The following is a 21,665-nucleotide window of genomic DNA, read 5'->3' on the forward strand; positions in this document are numbered from 1 at the left end:
CTTTTCACTCCCTTCTGCAGGGTTTGTGGGTTTTCCTGTAATGTTGGGGAATTCAGCTTGGCATGGGAAATTACATAATTTCCCATGCCAAGCCGAAATGTCAGGTCTTTCTGTGATCCTAAATGGAAACTTGTCAGAATCTCAAAATATAGTCTGATGGCACTCTGTAAATATGGTAAATAAACAAGCTTTTCAAAGGTTACAGGTGATCTTGCTAATGGATTATTATTGCTCTAACAGCTGTTAAATTAGTATTAAAGTTTTTAGGTTGTGTAAAATCTACTTCTCCCTGACTTATTGTGTGTCTTGGTGCCTGGGTGTGTACATGCCAGACATGAGAACCACCTTGCAAACATAGATATCTGTTCCATCCCTTCCATTCTTTCCTTGGGCTATCTGTTGTCTCACCTCTGAGATCTGTATAACTTATTACCACTGGTCTCTGCTGCTCCTGCTCCAAACCCCTGTCTCCTTACCTGCCACACACAAGCGCATCTGTTTTGTTCACAAGCCTCAAAGGTCCTTATTTTGGTGGCCATACCAGCTGTATGTTCTCCTCTCTATAATTTGTTTGGAAGCACAGCTTAAGGGGAAGCCGGTACCCCTTACCAGGGCAGCAAAGATGCACTCTCCAGGTTTCAGTGTAATAACAGCCACCTTCTTTCCACTGAAAGGCCTGCAACTTCTGGTTTGCGCCAATATCTTCCTTTTACAAATTCAGATTCAGAATTGAGGTGACTTTCTCAGGGCTGTCCAGTGAGTTAGATGCAGTTGCTGGTGGGTCTTGTTCATTCAGATGTCAGCCAAATACAATTGCTTTGGACACCTAGCAGGAATCTTCTATCCTGCTTCTCACACCCATCAAATCTTTATTTAGTCTCTCCTGTTTTACTCATGTCATTATAACTTAGCCTTAGCCAAGCATTTATTGAGACTCCATTATTTACAAGTTATTGGGAATATAGAGATTAAAGGAGGCATGATTCACATCTTTGGGAGGAAGCAGATGATTTTAATCCAGATGTAGTTAGTGTGGGATGGAAAGGACACCACGGTTAAACTACTCCTAAGCTATGGACTTGATGGTTACTTCCCTAATCTTTTAACCTTTTGCATCAGATCCCTCATCTTCAGTTTGGTTGCAGTTGGGTGATAGCCTCACCATCCTTTTTGCATCCACCTACTTCTCCCCCATACCCGCAGTTTGATCCTTTTTGGCTCTGTGCTAACAAAGGCAGTCTCACTGTAACCTTCTTGAGATGTCTGTGTGTTTTTGCTTACCTTTGTTTATTTTTTATTTATTTATTTTTTGAGACGGAGTCTCACTCTTGTTGCCTAGGCTGGAGTGCAGTGGCACGATCTCCACTCACTGCAAGCTCCTCCTTCTGGGTTCACACCATTCTCCTGCCTCAGCCTCTCGAGTAGCTGGGACTACAGGTGCCCACCACCACACCCAGCTAATTTTTTAGTATTTTTAGTAGAGACAGGGTTTCACCATGTTAGCCAGGATGGTCTCGATCTCCTGACCTCATGACCCACCCGCCTTAGCCTCCCAAAGTGCTGGGATTACAGGCGTGAGCCACCATGCCCGGCCTTACCTTTGTTCAGCACAGAATCTCATCCTTGTGACACCCAATAGGTCTTGCTCAATAAACAGTTATTTATCTGTTGAATGAATGTTGCCGAATCTTATAAAAATCTTCCTCCCTCTGCTTCTTTCTTTTCCCTTAAGCATATCACTGCTCCAGCATCTATCCTTTTCTAATATAGTCAGAATATTCAAGTTGGAAGCAACTTCAGAAGAAAAGGTCATTCATAGGGTGACACTGTTTTGTCCTACTTGCCCTGCAGGAACCTTGGCTTCCCCTCTGTACTTCCTCAGCCTTTCACATGCCATTGGTTTTCTCCTCAGTGTGCACCAGTTCTCAGATACCTTCAAATGCGTGTGTTTTCCTGTAATCTCCAGCACCAATATAGCGCTTCATGTAGTAGTAGGCAGCACATATTTTAAATGAATATACTAAAGGCTTCATAGCTTTAAAAATTTGAATTTCACCTTGCCACCTCCTCTTAAGAGTTCAGTTGATTTTTGTTGATTGCCAGATGGCATTATCTCAAATGCCTGCCCCCTACATCATTCTTTCTCATATTCTGCTTTATTTTTTCCTGTCCTTTAGAGCATATATCATTACCTAACTCCAGACCATATATTTGCTTTCTTGTTCTTTGTCTCTCTCCCTAACTAAAACATAACCTCCATGAGTGCAGAGGTCTTCACGGCTGGACCTAGGACAGTATTTAGTACATAGTGGGCACAAAGATGTGTCAGTGAGTCCTAACATGGGTAGATGGGCCCTGTTTCTTAGCCGTCATAATTCCCCTTCCTATGGTCAGACTTTTGTACACCAATCTGGTGAAGCTATTGTTGACACAAAGTCTTCTTTCAGAATCCGGTGTCCTTGTCTTGCCAGTTTTTGTTTTCCATCTCTTCTGTGCTGGACACCTTTGATTGCCTTATCTTTGAAAGAATCTTCATGCATTGTAAACATATTTTCTATGAACATGACTTAAAGTTTAATATATCCAGCTGTGATCTGTTAAGGGAATATCCATCTCCACTTGTGGTAAGTCCCTTTTGCCTTAAACCAACCATGTTTTAATTTAGGTTTCATATTGCAAACTGACTGCTTTTCCCAGAAGTTCTGTTTCTAGGGGGCAGGGCAGCTATTCTTTCCATCTCAAAGGTCCAAGGACTTACCTCTGATCCTTCCTTCTTCTCTCCATTTTGTTGCCAAGTCCTGCCATTTCTGTTTTCACAATGCCACCTATTCTCTCTCAGTCCCTCACTCCCATCTGGTAGGCTTCATCTGGATTTATGTTGTGCGTTGCTGGTTGTCTTCTGCTGAGGCTCTTTAGGGCTGGTCTTGAAAGGGCAGAGAGCAGAGGTACTGGATTCAGATAGTTCAAAATGCTGCCCCAACACTTGGAGACTCTGTTCAAGCCTCTGTTTCCTTGGGTGTTACCTACTTTATAGGGTTATAGAGTTATTAAAGACTATGTGTAAAGCACTAAAAGTGTCAGCACAGAGTTAGCTCTCAGATGTCTAACATCTTTCTGGATACTGTGGCAAGATCCGTTTATTTTAAAATAATGTTTCTTTTTCTTTTTTTTTTTTTTTTTTTTTTTTGAGACGAAGTCTCTCTGTCACCCAGGCTTGAGTGCAGTGGCGCGATCTCAGCTCACTGCAACCTCCGTCTCCTGGTTCAAGTGATTCTCCTGCCTCAGCCTCTCGAGTAAGCTGGGATTACAGGCGCACACCACCACGCCCAGCTAATTTTTGTGTTTTTAATAGAGACGGGGTTTCACCATGTTGGGCAGGCTGGTCTTGAACTCCTGACCTCAAGTGATCTGCCTGCCTCCGTCTCCTAAAGTTCTGGGATTACAGGCATGAGTCACCATGCCCGGCCAAAATAATGTTTCTTAAACTGGAGTTTGAAGACATTTTCCTGGGAGTTATTTTTTAAAGCCAGAATTACATTTTTAATATTCTTTTCAATAATACTTTTTTTTTTTTAGACGGAATCTCACTCTGTCGCCCAGTCTGGAGTGTGGTGATGCAGTCTTGGCTCACTGCAACCTCTACCTCCTGGGTTCAAGCGATTCTCCTGTCTCAGCCCCCTGAGTAGCTGGGATTACAGGCGTGTGCCACCACGCCCGGCTAATTTTTGTATTTTTAGTAGAGACGGGGTTTCACTATGTTGGCCAGGCTGGTCTCAAATTCGTGACCTCAAGTGATCTGCCCGCCTCAGCCTCCCAAAGTGCTGGGATTACAGGCGTTAGCCACTGTGCTTGGCCAATAATACATTTTTTAAAAAAATCACAGATTCTGTGACATCTTGATGACCTTATAAATGAGCAGTGCCAGAAGACTTTATTGACTGTGTTTGAGCATTCCTTTAATTGTCTCTAGCTAGTGGGGGAGGAACAGATGTGAACTTATTACAGAAATGATTTGTTGGTGTCAGAAGATGGCTGGAAGTTGTATGAACAAAGGTTTCATGGCAATTTGTTAGACAAAAGTGTTGGGTAGCTGAAGGGGTCACAGCGCACATTGGTGTCAGCAAGCAGAATGTGAATGCAGGCTACCTCCTCCATGCTACTGTTGTATTTAAAACATTGCAAGCAGCCATACAGTGTCTGCAAAATTGCATCATTGTTGTCTGTCATGTTAAATTAATGTTGAGCTTTCTTTTATGTGTTTTTACCAGATTTAAAAAGTGTTTACCTTATAGTTTTATAAGAGCTAAAGCATAGAGAAGACATAACCTAGTTTTATGTTTGGACATACTTCAATAACATTATAATAAATGTAATTTAAGTCAAAGCTTAGGGGAAAGGGGATCCAAAGGAATATTTCCCCTTTATAGTGCTGATCTATACATTTCTCAAGCTGGGGAAACAGTTGTCATTTCTCAGATACCCTGTTACTATCACACAATTTAGCATTTAATTGTTTCCTGTGTTAGTCCCCCACCCCTCACCCCATACCTCTCCTCACCTCTCATACTTAAAAGTGAGAAAACTGAGACCTAGAGAAGTTGTCATTTGTCTGGGGTTAGTGGAGATTAGAGTCTCTGGTTAAGAAACATTTAGTGAGTATCTGTGACATATTAATAATAATTATAATGGGTTAGTGGAGATTAGAGTCTCTTCAATTAAACATTTAGTGAGTTTCTGTGATGTATTAATAATAATTATAATTGTCACTGCTTATTGAGGTTTAACTGAGTTTTAAGCATTGTATTAAGTGCTCTACATAAATAATTTCTCTAAAATGGAATAACAGCCCACTGTAGCCATTATGATTTCAGCTTGGCAAATGCAGAAACTGAGTCATAAAAAACTTACTTAAAAAGCTTAAAAGCCTTGTTCACGGTTAGTTCTGGAGCAAGCAAGAAACTCCTGCAACATGTGTGCATTTACTGGTATGCTGTACTGCCCGCCTGGGAGCAAGGAGGCATGGCGATGTGAAGAGCCTCTGCAGAATGCCATGACAGCTAAGGAGATGAACTCTACCCTGTAGGCAGAGGAGCCTCAGGGAAGGTGTCTATGCAGAGGTGAAGTATGGAAAGATCTTTGTTTCTAGAAAGATCATTCTGGGGCAGAGGAGAGAATAGAGTCCGGGAGACCAGGCAGGGGCTCGTTGCAGTGGTTTAGGCCAGAGGAAAAGATAGAGTACCTGTGGGATGTTCTGGGAGATGGTGTCATTAAAGTTTTTACCGCTGGGAGCCTCTCCCTTCCCATCTGCTGCTCTTTCTACTATGCCGCCTTGTGTTGTGCTGACCCATCCAAAGTGCTTCATAAATTTGTGGGACGCCAAATACAAAGCATTGTCCTCCCTTCTGTGGACATATTTTCCTTGATTGTGGGGTGCCCTTGTAAGATGCTCAACAAAACCTGGCAAGTTTTGTAGTAGGCATTGGCTTGGAAGAAAGATGGACAGCCAGATGTGTTAAGGGTAGGAAGAGTTTGCTTATTTTTGGTTTTGTTTAGATGAATGTGATCATTAAATTTATAAAAATGTACCAGCAGTGACCCTGGTAACCCTGTGGGTTCTAGTTTTCTGAGTAATATGAATGTATATTTATGTTTGTTCTATACTATGAATTTTAGTTTCATCATCCTGTGCTAGAGTACAGGTGCTGGAGTAGAGGATGCTTTCAAAGACAAATACTTGGAGAATATTTATTATTCTAGAGTAACTTGAAACTCATTGCTTGTATATCTTTTTAAAAAGTAGCTCAAGTCCTTGAGAAAAACAAACCATTTGCTTAATGAAACTTTGTGAGAGTTGACAAAGATAGAGTCATGCTTTTAGTATGGTAAAACAGCAAAATGAGCCTGCTTCCACAACCCCCAGTTCCCTTTTCCTGGGGCTCCCAGCGGAAAAGGAGCACTTTGACTCCACCTCACAGGCTTCCAGTGAATTTCCCCCGTTGCCGGAATTTTGCATCTTCTGTACTGTAACAAACAGGTACTTGGGATTTCCTTAAAACGGACCCTTTACCACAGACTTGAGATTTTAGGAGTAAGCCACTCTTGAGATTTACACAAGAGTATCAGAAATAGCAGTGTAAACATTTCTTTGCGATGATGACAGATCCCAGACATGGTCTTGCTGTGCCGTGGAATGAGATGTCGTGTTCTTTTTGGGTGAGGATCCAGTGAGTGCTGCAGGCTTCTCACTGTGCTCACTGAAGTCTAGGGCAAGTTCACCTATTTTAGGACTCTACCCAGGATTCAGGGCTAGAAATGTTTGCCCTCTGCTTCATAAGATAGTTCTGAGGGGTGATGAGACCATGGGCCAGATCTTCCTAAATGCATAGGAGAAACTTCTGGATGTCCATTAACTTTCTCTTGGGTATGATTTAGTGGACAGGAATGGAATGGTAATTTACTATTGCATGTGGTATTTTAGAAGATCTAATAGAGTGTGTGTGTGTATGTGTGTGTGTGTGTGTAGTGTAAAATACGTTGGACTCCTAAAATAAGATGTAATATTTAAAATTTTTCCCTCCTCATTATTTTGATCTAGACTATAATGTTTAGATTTCAGGGAAGTTGACTCAGTTGGAAGAAATTTGGTGTTTTTGTTTCTAAAAACCCCAAGGAATGGATTTGCCATGTGGTAAGTGGAAGGTGGTGTTACACCTAATTACAGCATGTTCCAGACTGACTCCTTGATTGTGTGGCTGAATGGAGAGGACTCTGTCCATCTGGCCACCATAGTCACCTTTCTTTCCGCAGTCCACCCCCGCTTCTTGGGAAGAGATAATCTGGAGGGCTGTCCACTGGCTTGTGAGAACCAGGCGCCTGAGTCAAATGAGCAGTTGTGAGGGCCAGAAAGGGGCTGCAAACCTCTCAGGATGTGATGTGGGCTCTGACTGCTTGACTTGATCTGGAAGATGCTGAATAAATGCCTTTGAGGCTCATGTTATTAGTGCAAATGACCTTGGCTATGGTGTTGTCTTGTGTTTATCTTATTATGAGAGTAGTGTGTGTTGGATGCTTAAAATAATTCAAAGAACAAAAAAGAAAGAATAGTCACTTGATTTCCTTGAAATGATATCATCCGTTAACAATTTGATTGTATTAAATTTTTTTATTTTATTTTTAATTGACAAATAATTGTATACATGTATATGGTATAACATAGTGTTTTGATACATGTGTACATTGTGGGATGATCAAATCAGTCTACTTAAAATACCCATCACCTCACATATTTATTATTTGTGGTGAAGACATTTAAAATTCCCTTTGATTTTAGGATGTATTTTAATGGATTGTTTCTTCTTCTTATATCACCATGTATTTGTTGTTATTAAAACAAAAATAGAACTCCCACTATATAAATTGTTTTGCTGCTTGTTCTTTTTACTTAACACCATATCTTGGACATTTTTCATATCGATGTATATAGAAGTATTATAGCATTACTGCGAGTGCTATAGTATTCCATTGTATTGGATATAGCACTGTTATTTATTTTTTAACTCTTTTCCTATTACTGAATATTTAAATAGTTTCTAATTCTTTGCAATGATGAGCCATGCTGAATTAAAAGTTCTTGTATTTATTACTTTGTATACCTGTGCAAATGTTTCTTTAAGATACATTTCAAGAAGCATATTTGCTGAATCAATGGATATGTACTTTACAAAATATTGCTAGATTTTCAGTTTTTTAGTCAGAGTTGGATGGAGGCCTAGAGATTACACAAATCTAATCTGTCGTTTTGCACCTAAAAAGCTAAAGTCTAGAGAGGTAAAGTGATGTATTAAAGGAAAATAAAGACATGGGCTACACATTCCCGATTCTTGACACCCAAGTCCTGTGATCCTTGTGAGATCTTGAAAAATAGGCCTAGAGGCTGTCTTTTTTTTTTCTTCTTTTTATCTCTGTGCCCATTATTCTTGAGTGCAATTCTTTTCCGTAGGTCTGGAAAAGGCCTCGGGTAGGCTTTAGTCAGTTGAGCAGGTATTTGTGCCAGATCTTTGGACGACTAACATCTAATACTTGCCACATGAATGTGCATGCCAAGAGTTGCTATGCTATGGGCCCTTGTCAGAGGCTTGTTGCATTTGAGGTGTAGGAAAGCAGGACTCCGGCTTTCAGTGCTGCCGGGCTTTGACAGGCTGGGAAGGGAGGAGGGCATTGCAGACGGGGAGCTTTTGTGAGGTGACATATGCTGTGTTTGGAGCATAGATTCTTACTCTGGGTTGACTCGGTTCTCTTTCTGGAGTGAGAGGGCAGGGTGGTGTGCAGGATGTTTGGGAACACAAAGCTTGGTCATTAACTTGTGATGTCTGCATGGATCAGCACCCCCACCTCAGTCTCTTCTACTGAAGTCTCCACTCAGGCCAGATCCTCTTACTTGAAGATGAAGTATACATAGTTGTTAGGAGATTGTCCTCTTCATGGTGACACCTTGGATAGGTAACTAGTCTTTCATTGTACTTCAGTTTATTCATCTGTAAAAAGAAGGTAATAATAGTCCCTACCTCATGAAGTTGTATGAAAGTTACATGTGTTACTCTGTAGACAGTGCTGAGAACAGTATCTGGGAGATAGAATGTACCCACTACAGTCTGATCATTGTTATCAATACTGACTTTTGTGGTAGAGGCCCACACTCCTTCATTTGTGCTTCCTTCACATCCTTTCTCAATACTTGGTCAGAATGATCTTTCTAAGACACAGATGTGACAGTGATTGCCTGCTGTGGTGGCTTCCCTGCACCAGCAGGATACAGTCTGGCGGCATGCCATGCTCCGCCTACCCCCACCACCTCACCTTCCCTCAGCCTTGTGTTTCAGCCCCAGTTAGCTGCCCTTAGTTGCTGATGTATTGTTTCATGCTTCTTAGTCTTCGTTTTTTGTAGTTCCGCCTGTGGTGAAGTACTCTTCCCACTTCTTTGCCTGTCTCACTGCTCCTCATCCAACTGGACAGACCTCTGGAGCTAACATTCCTGCAGGAAGCCCTCCCATCTCCTCTGTGGTCTCTGGAGACACTTCTGACTTTATCGTTGCATTTTTATAATTATCTCTGTCCCTCATCAGAGCGAGTTTCTTAAAGCTACACATCTTTTCTTTGCATTCCTGCTGCTTATTAATAGGGTGGTTGGTGCAGAGCAGACCTTGAATACATATTTGAAGGGCATCTTGGGGGAAGTTTTCAGCCCTTTTGGGGAGTGGATTTAGTAATGGCTTTGAACCAGACCTGTGAGGGAGAGCTTGAACATGACACCATGAAGAACCGGGCAGTCTATAGTCCTTGTGTGTATGGGTGGCACCATGATGGAGTGGAAACAGCACTGGCCTGGGTGTCAGCGCTGGGTTCTTGTCCTGGTCCTGTCCAACACTAGCATTGTGACCTTGGGCGGATCACATACTCTCTTGAGCCTCAGTTTCCTTACCTGAGTGGTGTCAGCAAAGTCCCTCTGTGTGTTGACCCTCTCTGATGCTAATTTTATGACTTGATGTCCCAGAGTGAACCTTTGATGAGTGGTGCTACAGTTGGGCACATACTCTGTGAGGTTGCTTCATGAGGTTTAGTAGAACCACAAATCTAGGCTTAATCATTATAATCAAGGATTTGATAATAAGGAAAAGCTGTTCCAAACACTTACCCTCCTGTGGTCAGTTGTTGATTCCCAGAACCAATTAAGGAAAAAAGATCAGCAGATTTTCTTTGGTTAAAACACTCACTCCCTCACCCCCAACAACCTTTGAACACTGAAGTTTTTCTCTTTTGTCAGTTGCATTTTCCCAGCTTTTCAAAATGAGGCAAAATGGTTGAATTTGGCTGGGATCTTTTTTGTGTCCTTATTAAATGAACTCAAGCAATTCAGAGGGTGTTGTTTGAAACTTCCCTTTATGTTGATTTTAGTACCTGAGAGATTGTATTTTGAGAAACAGTTTGGGGACTGACCATTAGAAATATCTATGGGTCAGTATCAGATTGAGGTGGCTTTGCAAGGAGTAAGTTAGGATCAAAGGCTACAGCTCTCTAGTCTCCTCCTGAATAGCTGGCTTCTCTGATGGGATGTTGGTGTCAGGCTTCAGAGACATCTTGGTTCAGGAATGGGGACTAGGGATGGGTCTCTGCCGGATCCTGACAGACCCTCCCTCCTCCTTCCCTCATTCACTCCACATGCTTATTGTTGAGTGCTGGCTGTGCTTCAGGCATCGTTCTATCTAGAAAGGCAAATAAATCTCTGTCTGTATGGAGCTTCCATTCTAGGTAAGGATGGAAAACAGATAAGAAAATATGAATTTCAGGTAGTTACAAAAGCTATAAAGAAAACAAAACAGAGAAGCCAGGCGCAGTGGCTTACGCCTGTAATCCCAGCACTTTGGGAGGCTGAGGCGGGCAAATCACCTGAGGTTGGGAGTTCAAAACCAGCCTGACCAACATGGAGAAACCCCATCTCTACTAAAAATACAAAATTAGCCAGGTGTGGTGGCGCATGCCTGTAATCCCAGCTACTTGGCAGGCTGAGGCAGAAGAATTGCTTGAACCCGGGAGATGGAGGTTGCAGTGAGCCAAGATCACGCCATTACACTCCAGCCTGGGCAACAAGAGTGAAACTCCGTGTCGTCAACAACAACAACAACAACAACAACAACAACAACACCCCCCAAAACAAGGAAGTACTGTAGAGAGTGATGCAAATGGAGATTTCTATTTAAGGCCTCTCTAAGGAAGTGACATTTGCATCGATGGAGTGGGGCAGCCATGTAAATATGGCAGAGCTTCCTGCAAAGCCTTGGGGATGAACTTGGTGAGTTTATGGGCAGAAAGAAGGCTAGTGCAGCTGGAGCCCTTGGCATGGGCAGTAGGAAATCCAGGTGAGGATATTGGCAGGGCCTGGAGGGCCTGGCAAGGAGAGTGGATGGGTTTTCATCAGTTGAAGTGTGGCAGATCATAAGCCTATGAGATACCTGATTTATGTTAGAGAGTTCACTCTGCCTGCTGATTAGAAATTAGATGATAGGAAGAGAAGAAGCAGGGAGACTGGGAGAGGGGGCTTTTATTGAGAGGTTCTAGTGAAGTGCTGCTGGTGACGTTGACTGTGGTGGTAGCAGTAAATGGTGAGATAGCTTGGGGGTAAAGTGGACAATACCTGCAGGATGTAGATTTTTGGTTGTATTGATGGGGAGGGGGTAGCAGAATTATTTATTGATTTAGGGAGGACTGGAAAAGGGAACTGCAGTATAGGAACTGCAAAGTACTTGAGTTGAGTCATGGCAGAAGTTTTTATGAGACCTAGAATTTAGGAGAGGAAACCTGGGTAATTGATAATTATAATAATGATAGTCAGCATTTTATGAGCAATGTGCCTCAGTCTGCTTTAAGCACTTCCTGTGATTAACTCTTTTAATCCTTACAACCATAGCTATATTTCACATAAACTGGTTTATTTTACAGATGAGGATACTGGGACATGGAGAGGGTAAATAACTTGCCAAGCAGCTACTAAGCAGAGTAGCAGAGCTGTGATTTGAAGTGATGCAGTCTAGCTCCAGATCCAGTGTTCCTTATCATGGACCTTCCTGCTTCAAGGTCAGACATGGGGAGACAGTGTTGTCTGCACCAAAAGCCACCTGATGAGCCATAAGTTGCATCTGTTCTGTGAAGGGGAACAGAGAGACATCCATGACCCCTGCACTCAAGCCTGAGTGACAGAGTGAGACCCTGTTTCAAAAACAAATAAATGAAAAGAAAAAGAGCACTGAGCTGCAATATCATTTAAGGAAAGGGGTCACTAAATATTAATGAGCTGATTCAAACATAATCTTTCAAAGATTAGTGACACCCATTCTTTGGTGCTGGATTTCCTACTTTCAGGATGTAACTTAACAGCTGAATCCTTATATACATACTTAAAGTCAAAGCACATCCGTCTGGGAAAACAGTAGGAAGCTCTCTGAACAGCAATGAGCATTTGTTTTCTCATAGCAGCACTCCAACTATAAGTCTGCTCATAATTATTCAGCTATTATATACTATTTTTTCCTGTTCTCAAAGCATATCAAGTGATTATGAGGAAATCATTAGTCTTGACTGTAAAGGTCAGTATTATAAAGAGGCTCTAATGTGCTTTCTGGAACTATACATATTTCAGTACTGTTATAAATGGATGCTAATAAAAGTTAAGGGAAAACAAGCATTTTACAATAGATCCATCTTATAACATATTACACTTATTCTCATACCTTGATTTTTGATAACTTCATTGCAAAATGGCAGGAGGAGGAAGGGGGCAGTGTTATTTATGCCCCACACCGCTGGTAACTATAGTGATTCACTGAAATTGCATGGGGACAGGAGCAAAGCGAATCAGATCTCTGTTCTTCAACCCAGTCACCATCCCTCTTTGGTAACTTACTGTTTAAAAGGAAATTTTGTATAAAGGTGGTTTTGGTAAGGTAAATACAGCAGAAGATATTTACTTGTGTACTTTATTTAGTTTTTAAAAAGTTTATATATTCTAAAATGTTTATTTCAATTTTCAGATACAGGTACAAGGTAAATCTGGTCCAAGAGAAGCATCAGGTAACTTCTGTGGTTTCAATTCACTGGTAGTTTCCCCTTAGTGGAGGGTTCAGCCCTAGAGAGACAGAGGAATGTATCTGGAATACTCTGGACTGCAAATAACAAAAATCTCAACCTAAAATGCCTTTAATGAAACAGGTATTTAGTTATCTCACACATCAGGAAGCCTGAAGGTAGGGGCAGTGCTGGGCGCTTGTATGACTTCCCCGTGACTTGGTCCTGTGGTGGTACCCTTAGCAGAGAAGAAAGGGATAGATAGAGTCACAGGCCAGCCCTGGCCACCAGCAAGGCTGACAGTGACAGTGTCTGGCTTTTTTATTTTATTTTAAATTTTGACTCTGTAGCGGGAAGCAGGTAGGCAAAGAATAGTTGGAAAAAGAGGTTGGGAATGAGTGTGGGGTGGGCACTGTGCAGTGTCTGCTGCAAGAAGGAAGGCAGGAAGGAAGGCAGGCAGACAGTGAGAGCCTGCCTGATTCTTGCAGACACCCTTCTTTCCCGTCAGGGAGTAGTAGATAAATGTTATGTCTCTCGTTTAACCCTATGTCTTCTGCCAAAAGCATAAGGACCATCTGCTCAGGAAAAATCTCTAGCAGGAATGATTCTGTTTCAAAGTATTCTTAAAAAAGCTTTTACGACTGGGCATGGTGGCTCACACCTGTAATCCCAGCACTTTGGGAGGCCGAGGCAGGCGGATCATGAGGTCAGGAGATAGAGACCATCTTGGCTAACATGGTGAAACCGTGTCTCTACTAAAAATACAAAAAATTAGCCGGGCGTGGTCGTGGGCACCTGTAGTCCCAGCTACTTGGGAGGCTGAGGCAGGAGAATGGCTTAAACCCAGGAGGTGGGGCTTGCAGTGAGCCGAGATCCGGCCACTGCACTCCAGCCTGGGCGACAGAGCGAGACTCCGTCTCAAAAAAAAAAAAGCTTTTACACGTAGACATTTTCCCTAGATTTTATTCTCACTTCTTGTGTGAGAAATTTTGAGAGAACAAAAACATACATAAATAGGGTATAATAAAAATTAAAGTGATCAATACACTTAGTTTCTAACTTGTTAATTTTCTGTCACTCAGTGATAGGACTAGCTCTCCCAGCCTCTGTGCCTTTCTTGGTGCTGTCCATTCTGCTCAGAATGCTATTCTCCAATGTCAGTGCCGCCTTCTCTGTGAAACCCTCCCAGGTCTCCAATCTGTCAACGTCTCTGCTCCCCCAGCCTTTGAGGTTTACTTTTCTAATGAGATTCATCAGGACAGGACTTAGCTGTGTATCTGTTTGTTTTCTATCAACTTATCATCAGGGACTTACTTATGTGTTTCTACCCCAGGCATTGGGAAATTCAGTGCGTTAATCACAGAAATGCTCAAAAAGCGTATTTTTTTCATTAAAAAATATATTTTGTATGGAGTAGTTTAGATACGTAACTCCTCAGATATGTCCACATTCTCATTGTGTCTAACCACTCTGTTTTAGTGCCTTGGCATAGTGAGTTATTCTGAGGGCCCAGTGATGACAGGAGCACAGCTTTAGTTTCTGTTTGAGACAGGCGTCTGTCTCAGGAGGAACTCTGTAGGCTACAGACCACAGCTCTGGCCCCAGCTAGGCATGTTCACATTTGTTTGCTATCCACCTGAGAGGCAGGTGACGATGGTGGCTGAGTCAGCATGTCCTGCTGGCAGAGGGTCAACAGTAGCACAGAAAGATAATATGTCATTAGTCATGTTGAGAGAAGGACGTTTCCTCTCCCACTTGTCTATTAGTTGGGGTGTTAATGAGGAGTAAAATGGCCAAAAGGCAGGGAGCTTTCTCTCAAAAGAGAAGGCCTGAGCTGCTCACACACAGGATAGGAAGGGTTGACTAAAACCTCAGTTGTAACTTTTAAAATACTAATAGCAGCTCTTTATTAGCTGCATACAGTATTCCAGATGTACAGCTAGGCAGTTAAACAGATTTTGTCCTGCCCTCACATCAGCCTTATGTGTGAGGATTTTTTTTAAGTCACACTTTACAGATGGGAAAACTAAGGCTGAGCACTTTGCCTGGGGACACTCAGCTAGGAGAAGCCTGGGCTGGGGTTAAGTCCAGGTCTGCTAGACTACAAAGGCGCAGGCTTTTACATGCGAGGTACTAATCTGACAGGCCCTGTCGATTGGGTGGCACCTTTGAAATCGTCATGCAGTGAATGCATATTGATGGCCTGCTGTGTGCCTTAGGCACTGGGGATGCAAAAGTGAGTGCACAGTGCCTGCCTTGACACCTGAGCAGATCAGGTCGTGGTGAGCCTGTGTTGTGAAGCTAATAGCAAAGTCTTCCTGGAGGTAGAGGGCATTGCATGCACAGGCAGGGGCACCCCAGAGCCAAGTGTTGTTGGAAGCATGGGGTTTAAGAAGAAGGTGTCAAGAGATAAGGCCCCATCATGGGCAGCCTTGAATGCCAGGTTAAGGAGTTTGGCTTCTATTTTGTAGGGAGAGGAGTGTCTTGTTAGACACTGATTTAGAGCGCTCAGCCTAATGGCAGCTTTTGGATGGATTTGAAGGGAACAAGACTGGAGGAGATAGGGTTAATATTTAGAAAGCAAACCAGGGCAGAATTTAGTGACTGACTGGATTTGAAGCCGAGAGTTTGGTGGTTGGGGGAGTGAAGGATAACAGTTGAATTATTGGTTTGAGTGACTGGGTACCACCTTCAGAATTTGAAGAAAGAGGCCGGGCGCGGTGGCTCACGCCTGTAATCCCAGCACTTTGGGAGGCCGAGGCGGGCGGATCACGAGGTCAGGAGATCGAGACCATCCTGGCTAACACGGTGAAACCCCGTCTCTACTAAAAATACAAAAAATCAGCCGGGCGTGGTGGCGGGCGCCTGTAGTCCCAGCTACTCGGGAGGCTGAGGCAGGAGAATGGCGTGAACCCGGGAGGCGGAGCTTGCAGTGAGCCGAGATCGCGCCACTGCACTCCAGCCTGGGCAAGAGTGCAAGACTCCGTCTCAAAAAAAAAAAAAAAAAAAAAAAAATTTGAAGAAAGAGGGGAAGGATGCTTGTGGATAAATAAAAGATCAAACCTGTTGGCTTTAGTTTTCTCAGTTCAGGATGAGATAGGGCAGTCTGCTAGGTGAGGGAGGTGGAGGTGGAGCATGGGGTGCCTTGGGGGTAGTGAGAGAAAGGAATGGGAGGGGGAGCTAATGGGCATTGCTGAGGTTGGCATGAAGTTTTGGTGGTGCCAGGCTTCTGATTTTTTTTTCCTCTAGAGTGCTCAACTATACAGGCTTAGAATAGAGAAAGGTGGATTGTGGGTGCTGGTTCTACCTATGGAATAGGGAGTGGCTGGATGAGAGGGTGGGATGGGGCCACTGAGGATGCCGATGAAAAGGTACTTGGGATGCTGTACAGAGAGAGAGAAGGGAGTTCCAGAAGGAATGGGTGGGCAGAAAGAAAAATGGAACAGCAGCATAGTGGATTGTGGCCATGGGAGAGGTCATGGCCAGATCCAGGATACTGGAGTTGAAGATTCATAAGAGGAAGCAGCTGTGAGTGAGGCCATATTATGGGGTGTGACTCAGGAGTGGACTGTGTGGATTGGAGGGGTGTGGTGGTCATTGCCCTTAAGGAAGCCCAGGAGTTGCTATGCTTGCTTGCTGGGTGGATCAGCTCCATGAGGGACCAAAAAATCAAATACCTGTGGCAGCGCCAAGTGGGCAAATTGTAGGATAGGGTGGGCTAGTTATAGACAAACCTGTGCAAACCAGAGAGTGCATGCCCCCTCTACAGAGGACAGCTGCCCCTGCCCAACTTTACCAGCTGGAAGGTGGGCCTGCTGTTACTGCCTGGCTCAGTGGTTTTTTTTTTTTTCTTTTTTTTTCTGGAAATCAGTTTTTACGTGCAGTTTCCTGATTTTTAAGTGTTCAGTAATTAAAAATGGACAATGATTCAACAATTTGGAAAATGCACTGTGAGCTGTAGGAATCAGGTATACAGGTTGGGTTTGACTCTGCGGGCTGCCTGTTTGCACCCTCTGACCTTTGGACACCTTGACAGGTCCTAGGACTGTGGCAGGGGGTGAAGTGGGGAGGTGATTTTGAATTGGATTCTATAGTCTTGAAACACCTTGCCTTCTTGGTCATCTCATCTGGCTTGGAGGTTTTAAAGATAAGGAACTAAGTAAGTAGCTAAATTAGTTTTTCAGTAGCAGCTAATAGGTAATGATGGTAATCTGAAGCCTGTGGCTCAAAGGAACTGCAGATTGTGTTGGAAATTTTGCTAGCTCCTTCTGAAACCCTTGCATCCTTGCTCCTTTCCTCTATACAGAGTGTCCTTTGGCTCTCATGGTTTGTTTCTTGATTCGTACTTCCTCTTTTGCTTATTTACAGCATTTTCTTCTCTACTCCCTTTTCTCTTCATTGCTCATTTACTTCTCTAACTCCAACTCATCTTTCATAGGATTCAGCTCAATTTACTTGGCTAAAGTAATGTGTAGGTCAAATATTTGTGGTATTGATTTATTTAGTAAAATCTTCTATTTTCTTAGTTTTTAAACTCAGTGAATTAACTGAATTGTTGTTAGATGGTAGTGAAACTTTTTAAAAAAAATTAGCAGATAAAAAGGTGCTTACACATACAAATGCATATTTTGCCCTTAAATTAATCACTCTGTGGGTTTTACTCAAATTTCAAAACACCATTGAACCTCTTTGGGAATTATCCTCATGCCACCTACACATATCTGTCCATTATTGGTGTTTGCAAATCTTTGTTTCTTTGAAGGTATTTACCTTTGATGGTTGAGGCAGACTAAGAACTAAGTCTAAACAATAAGAGAAGTGACTATGAAGTACTGACACAGTGTCTATTGTTCTACTCAGCAGTGAGTCCCCAAGGTTGGTCCAAGCAAGAAGGTGCACAGATGTTTGCATAGTGCAGCCTGGTCGGAGTATGTGCTACCAGCATAGCTTTGAAAACCTTGCTTCCAGACATGCTATATTTATTAAGCTAACGTTAAATTTTCTTATTTTCAGACATTTCAGTTAGACCTTTGGTTGGTCTTTAGGGGATAAATGTGCAATTTCTATTGGCCTTTGAAATACTAAGATAGACTTTGAAACCTGCATTACTGTCTTTCTGGGCCCTTTGAGCTCTGGATATTGTAAATGAGGAAATATTAGGGTATGGGCTTCCCTAAGTGATGATTTTAAAGAATGATGTGAATGTGGCTGTGTGGTGGCTGCATAATTGTTGAACAACATGCATGTAAACCAGGCTCACCGCCGAGCCTCTTGTGTATAAGGAACTAGGCTGTCTTTCTTTGGCTGGTCACTTGTTGCGGGGAGCACAACAGTCGTTTGGACTGATTCTTTATGAGAAGCACCTGGGGAGTTCTTTTAAAAAATACAGATTCTAGAGCCTCATTTCCAGTAATTTCACCCATTATGTTGGGGTGGGGGTGGGGGTCATCAGTGGGACCAGGAATCTGTAGTTTTAGCTAGTGCCCCAGGTGACTGATGCTGACGGTCCTGGGGCCACACTATGAGAAACAGTGGGGCAGTGGGCTTTGGGTTGAATGGGCCTAGGTTCATGTCTTATCTCTAGCCTCTAATGGTTATATGATCTAGCAAAGCTACTTGTCATCTCCGAGCCTCATTTTTCTCACCTTTAAGTGAGGATGATGGTTCCATCAGGCACGGCATATAGCTCCAGGTCATGAGTTTTCCTTGGGCCTCCTCCTGGGCCATTATTTGAGATTTTCTTTTCTCTTGTTCTCTTTTCTCCCTCCACTTTAGGGCCTTTTTCTCCACATACTTGCATATGCACACACAGTGAGCGTGTCCTGAGGAACTAGTACCCAAAGCCTGCCTCAGGTCCAGTCCTCTCCTCTTAGCTTATTGAAACGTGGTGACAGTTGTTTATAATTTTGTCCTGCCAAGGCCCAGAGACTTTCCAGACTGTAAGATTTGGTCTGTTCATGTTGAGTCTGTAGGGAATTTAGGGCATTTGTTTTCAGTGGACAAACTTAAGCAAGTTCTCTCTCCTCCTGCGTTCACTTGTGAAGAGTTCACTGTACACAGATAGTCATTCCTGTGAAACTTTTTGTTTTGGCCAATATGATCTTGATCTTCCTGGAAGATAGGCAGGCCGGTTTTTAAAAATGTTTTATTTTTGTTTGTTTTTAATGCTAACACTGAAAAATAATACTTTGGTCTTGGCCCATACTGCTGTCAAAACAAAATGCTTCCTGTATCCAGGATATAAGTAGGTTTAACGAGTACCCAAGCATGTTGCTGCTTTTAGTTTTCATCTCTGCTTTGTAACTTTTGAAGTGGAATAACTCTGCATTCTTTTCTTGCTAATCACTTAAAATTTTAATAGAAAGTTTTACTTTTATAACGTGAGCTCTTTTGGCAAACGCATGAAGGTGTGTCTAATGTAATTCCAGTTTCAGAGGCACTTTTTAAAAAAGTAAAAGAGGCTTTAATCTTAAATACTTTTGACACTGGGCTATTTATTAGGTATTTTTAGTTTATAAATTATAGTGAGCATGGTACCAAAATTTACATTTTTTTTCTGTTTCATGTATTTCCTGATTCTTGGCTTGGTAATTATATTCAGGATAATTTAGTCTTGGACTATAAAATAGATGTTGGGTCTATATTCTCTACCTACTATACGTTAAAAATTCCGAGTTCATTACGTGACAGAATATATAGGTATATTTTAGGATTAGAATTGAAGCCCTTGGTATCTCTGTCAAAAGCTTCTTGAATCTCGTATGAAAGAAACATATGGGAAAGAGAAATCACTGAGATGGAAATGCTAAGTGCCAAGTGACTATAGAAATCAGTAAAAAGCCTTTTTATGTTGGTTTAGAGTTACCCAAATCAAAACAGGGCAATATTTTTAGTTGTTGCCTTTAAATGTAGCTTTCTTACAATCAGAATATATAAATCACAGGTTAAAGTTTCTTATTCAAGGTGTTATATATTTTCTAGGATACTTTGTAAACTGAATATTTCTTTCAAAATAACCCCATGGAGGGCAGAGGGAAGGATAAAAAATGTGCATAACACCTCTTCTTTCCTTGTATTTCTGATTCCTCTGCAACTTGTGAATACTTTCGTATATGCCGAACAATCTGAAAGTCGGAACCTCCGCTAAAAATCCAGCTCTCTTCCCCCTTTAAAACATTTCAACACATTAGCTTCACTTAAGACAAAGAAGATAGCCAAAATTTTAATTAGTGGCTCAATTTATGAGCTAAAAACATTCATTTCAGCTGATATTTTTGAAAGAGATTTTTGACCCCCAATTATGGACATGATATTGATGCCCTTTTAAGAAACTTTGACAAATGTAGAAATGTTTAAAGACATAGAAGAAAAGGTCACCCATAATCCCCACCTAAGATTACAGCCCCTAATTTCAATCCGAGACACTTGTCTGATGACCCACTTGCATACCACCTAGCTGGCTCCCTCATGAGCCCTGGGGCATCCTTCACCCAAGCATCATAGCTGCCATCTGGCACTGTGCATATCTGGCACACAGGTCTTTTTGTCTATGGGATTCTGAGCTCCTTGAGGGAAGGGACTGTCTTCATTTTTTTCTTATTTAAAAAAATTATATATTGACAGATTATAGTTGTATATATTTGTGGGGTACAAAGTGATGTTATGATTTTTTAATATAATGTGAAATGATTAAATCAAGCTAATTAACATGTCACCTCAAATATTTAACATTTTTGTGATGAGAACATTTGAAATGTTCTATCTTAGTGATATTAAAATGTGCAATACTCAGTTATTAGCTCTATTCACCATGCTGTGCAACTGACCTAAAAAAATCAAACTTATTTCTCCTAACTTAAACTTTGTACCCTTAAGAATGAATGGGGATTATCTTTGTACCCCCTTAAGAATGGAGATTATCGTTTCCCCATTCTCCTTACCTCCAGCCTCTAGTAACCACCATTTTACCCTCTGCTTCTATGAACTGAATTGTTTTAGGTTCCACATACTATAGGCATAATGGGTTAAGACATGTGGTACTTGTCTTTCTGTGTTTTGTTTATTTTACTTACCATACATAGTGTTCTCCTTGCTGCAGATTGCCTCAGTTTTTGTATCCCTAGAATCTAGGGTACTACAGTAATGTAGGTACTAAAAAAAAATGATCAAGCTACATCCTATGCATTTTAAGTTCATATCATTTAATTGCATAAAGCCAGTGCTATGTGCGCTGTATGATCAGCACTTTTTTTGAAATGTCTACAAATATTTTAAAGAGCATTTTATGTTTTGCATGTGTAATGTGTAATATATGGACATGGTAAGACATGAATACAGCACAAAAGGTGCACGTACAATGAAAAGTGGGTTTTCTTTACATCCCTTTTCCAGGTCTGTGCTTCCTTTCTAAGGAGAAGGCCACTCTTTTATTACCTTTGCATCTTTCCAGAAATAATCTATATTAATGCTTGTATACACACAGGCTATCTTTTAAAAAATCTACCTTTGGGTTATAGGGCAATGGTAGACATGTGAATGATACGGCTTTTTTGGAAGTCATTCTGGTCTTATCTATTAAAATTAAAAATCTAGCCTAATAATTCCAGTTCTGGCATTCTGTTTTATAAATAGAAATACCAGTGTATCAAGATAGAAATGGAAGGATTTTTATATCAATAGTGCATTTTTTTGTGGTGGCAAAAAAGAAAGGAAAAAGAAAAAGGAAATACAGTGAATGCCTGTCAATGAAATTGTTGAATAAATTATGGTACATACATACTATGGCTGTGGTGCAGTCCTTACAGAATTAAATAAAGTTTTATTATTTGTCACAGAGGAACTTTCTTGATAAATTTTTATGTAAGAAAAGAAAGGCAGATAAGATTGTATGAGATTCTGTTTTTACAAAACAATGCTAAACTCTGTATGTGACTGGATGTTTATGTATAATGGTATGAGCATGGAGAAAGATAACAGGGGAAAGGAGTTAAGTAAAAAATGCTTTCTAAATTAAAATTCTAAAAAATGTGTCCTTGAATCTTTTCCAGAAT

The 21,665-nt window shown here is 41.6% G+C and overlaps 1 protein-coding gene across 4 annotated transcripts in view, besides 2 other annotated features; it reads left to right on the plus strand.

Annotated features, from left to right (window-relative positions):
- The window catches only part of LRRC1 (leucine rich repeat containing 1), a 129,121-nt gene that overhangs the window by 2,080 nt on the left and 105,376 nt on the right, over nt 1-21,665 (plus strand). The window lies entirely within an intron of this gene.
- Nucleotides 14,121-14,170: a silencer, noted in NCBI's record as "silent region_17295". NCBI's record gives its function as "represses an Ori minimal core promoter by ATAC-STARR-seq in GM12878 lymphoblastoid cells {active_cell/tissue: GM12878}" and the evidence as "EXISTENCE:reporter gene assay evidence [ECO:0000049][PMID:35858748]".
- Nucleotides 17,367-17,661: a silencer, noted in NCBI's record as "tiled region #10889; HepG2 Repressive DNase matched - State 8:EnhW, and K562 Repressive non-DNase unmatched - State 24:Quies". NCBI's record gives its function as "represses a minimal TATA promoter and a strong SV40 promoter by Sharpr-MPRA in HepG2 and K562 cells {active_cell/tissue: HepG2 | K562}" and the evidence as "EXISTENCE:reporter gene assay evidence [ECO:0000049][PMID:27701403]".

Source organism: Homo sapiens, chromosome 6 (assembly GCF_000001405.40).
Source record: "Homo sapiens chromosome 6, GRCh38.p14 Primary Assembly".
Lineage (NCBI taxonomy): Eukaryota > Metazoa > Chordata > Mammalia > Primates > Hominidae > Homo > Homo sapiens.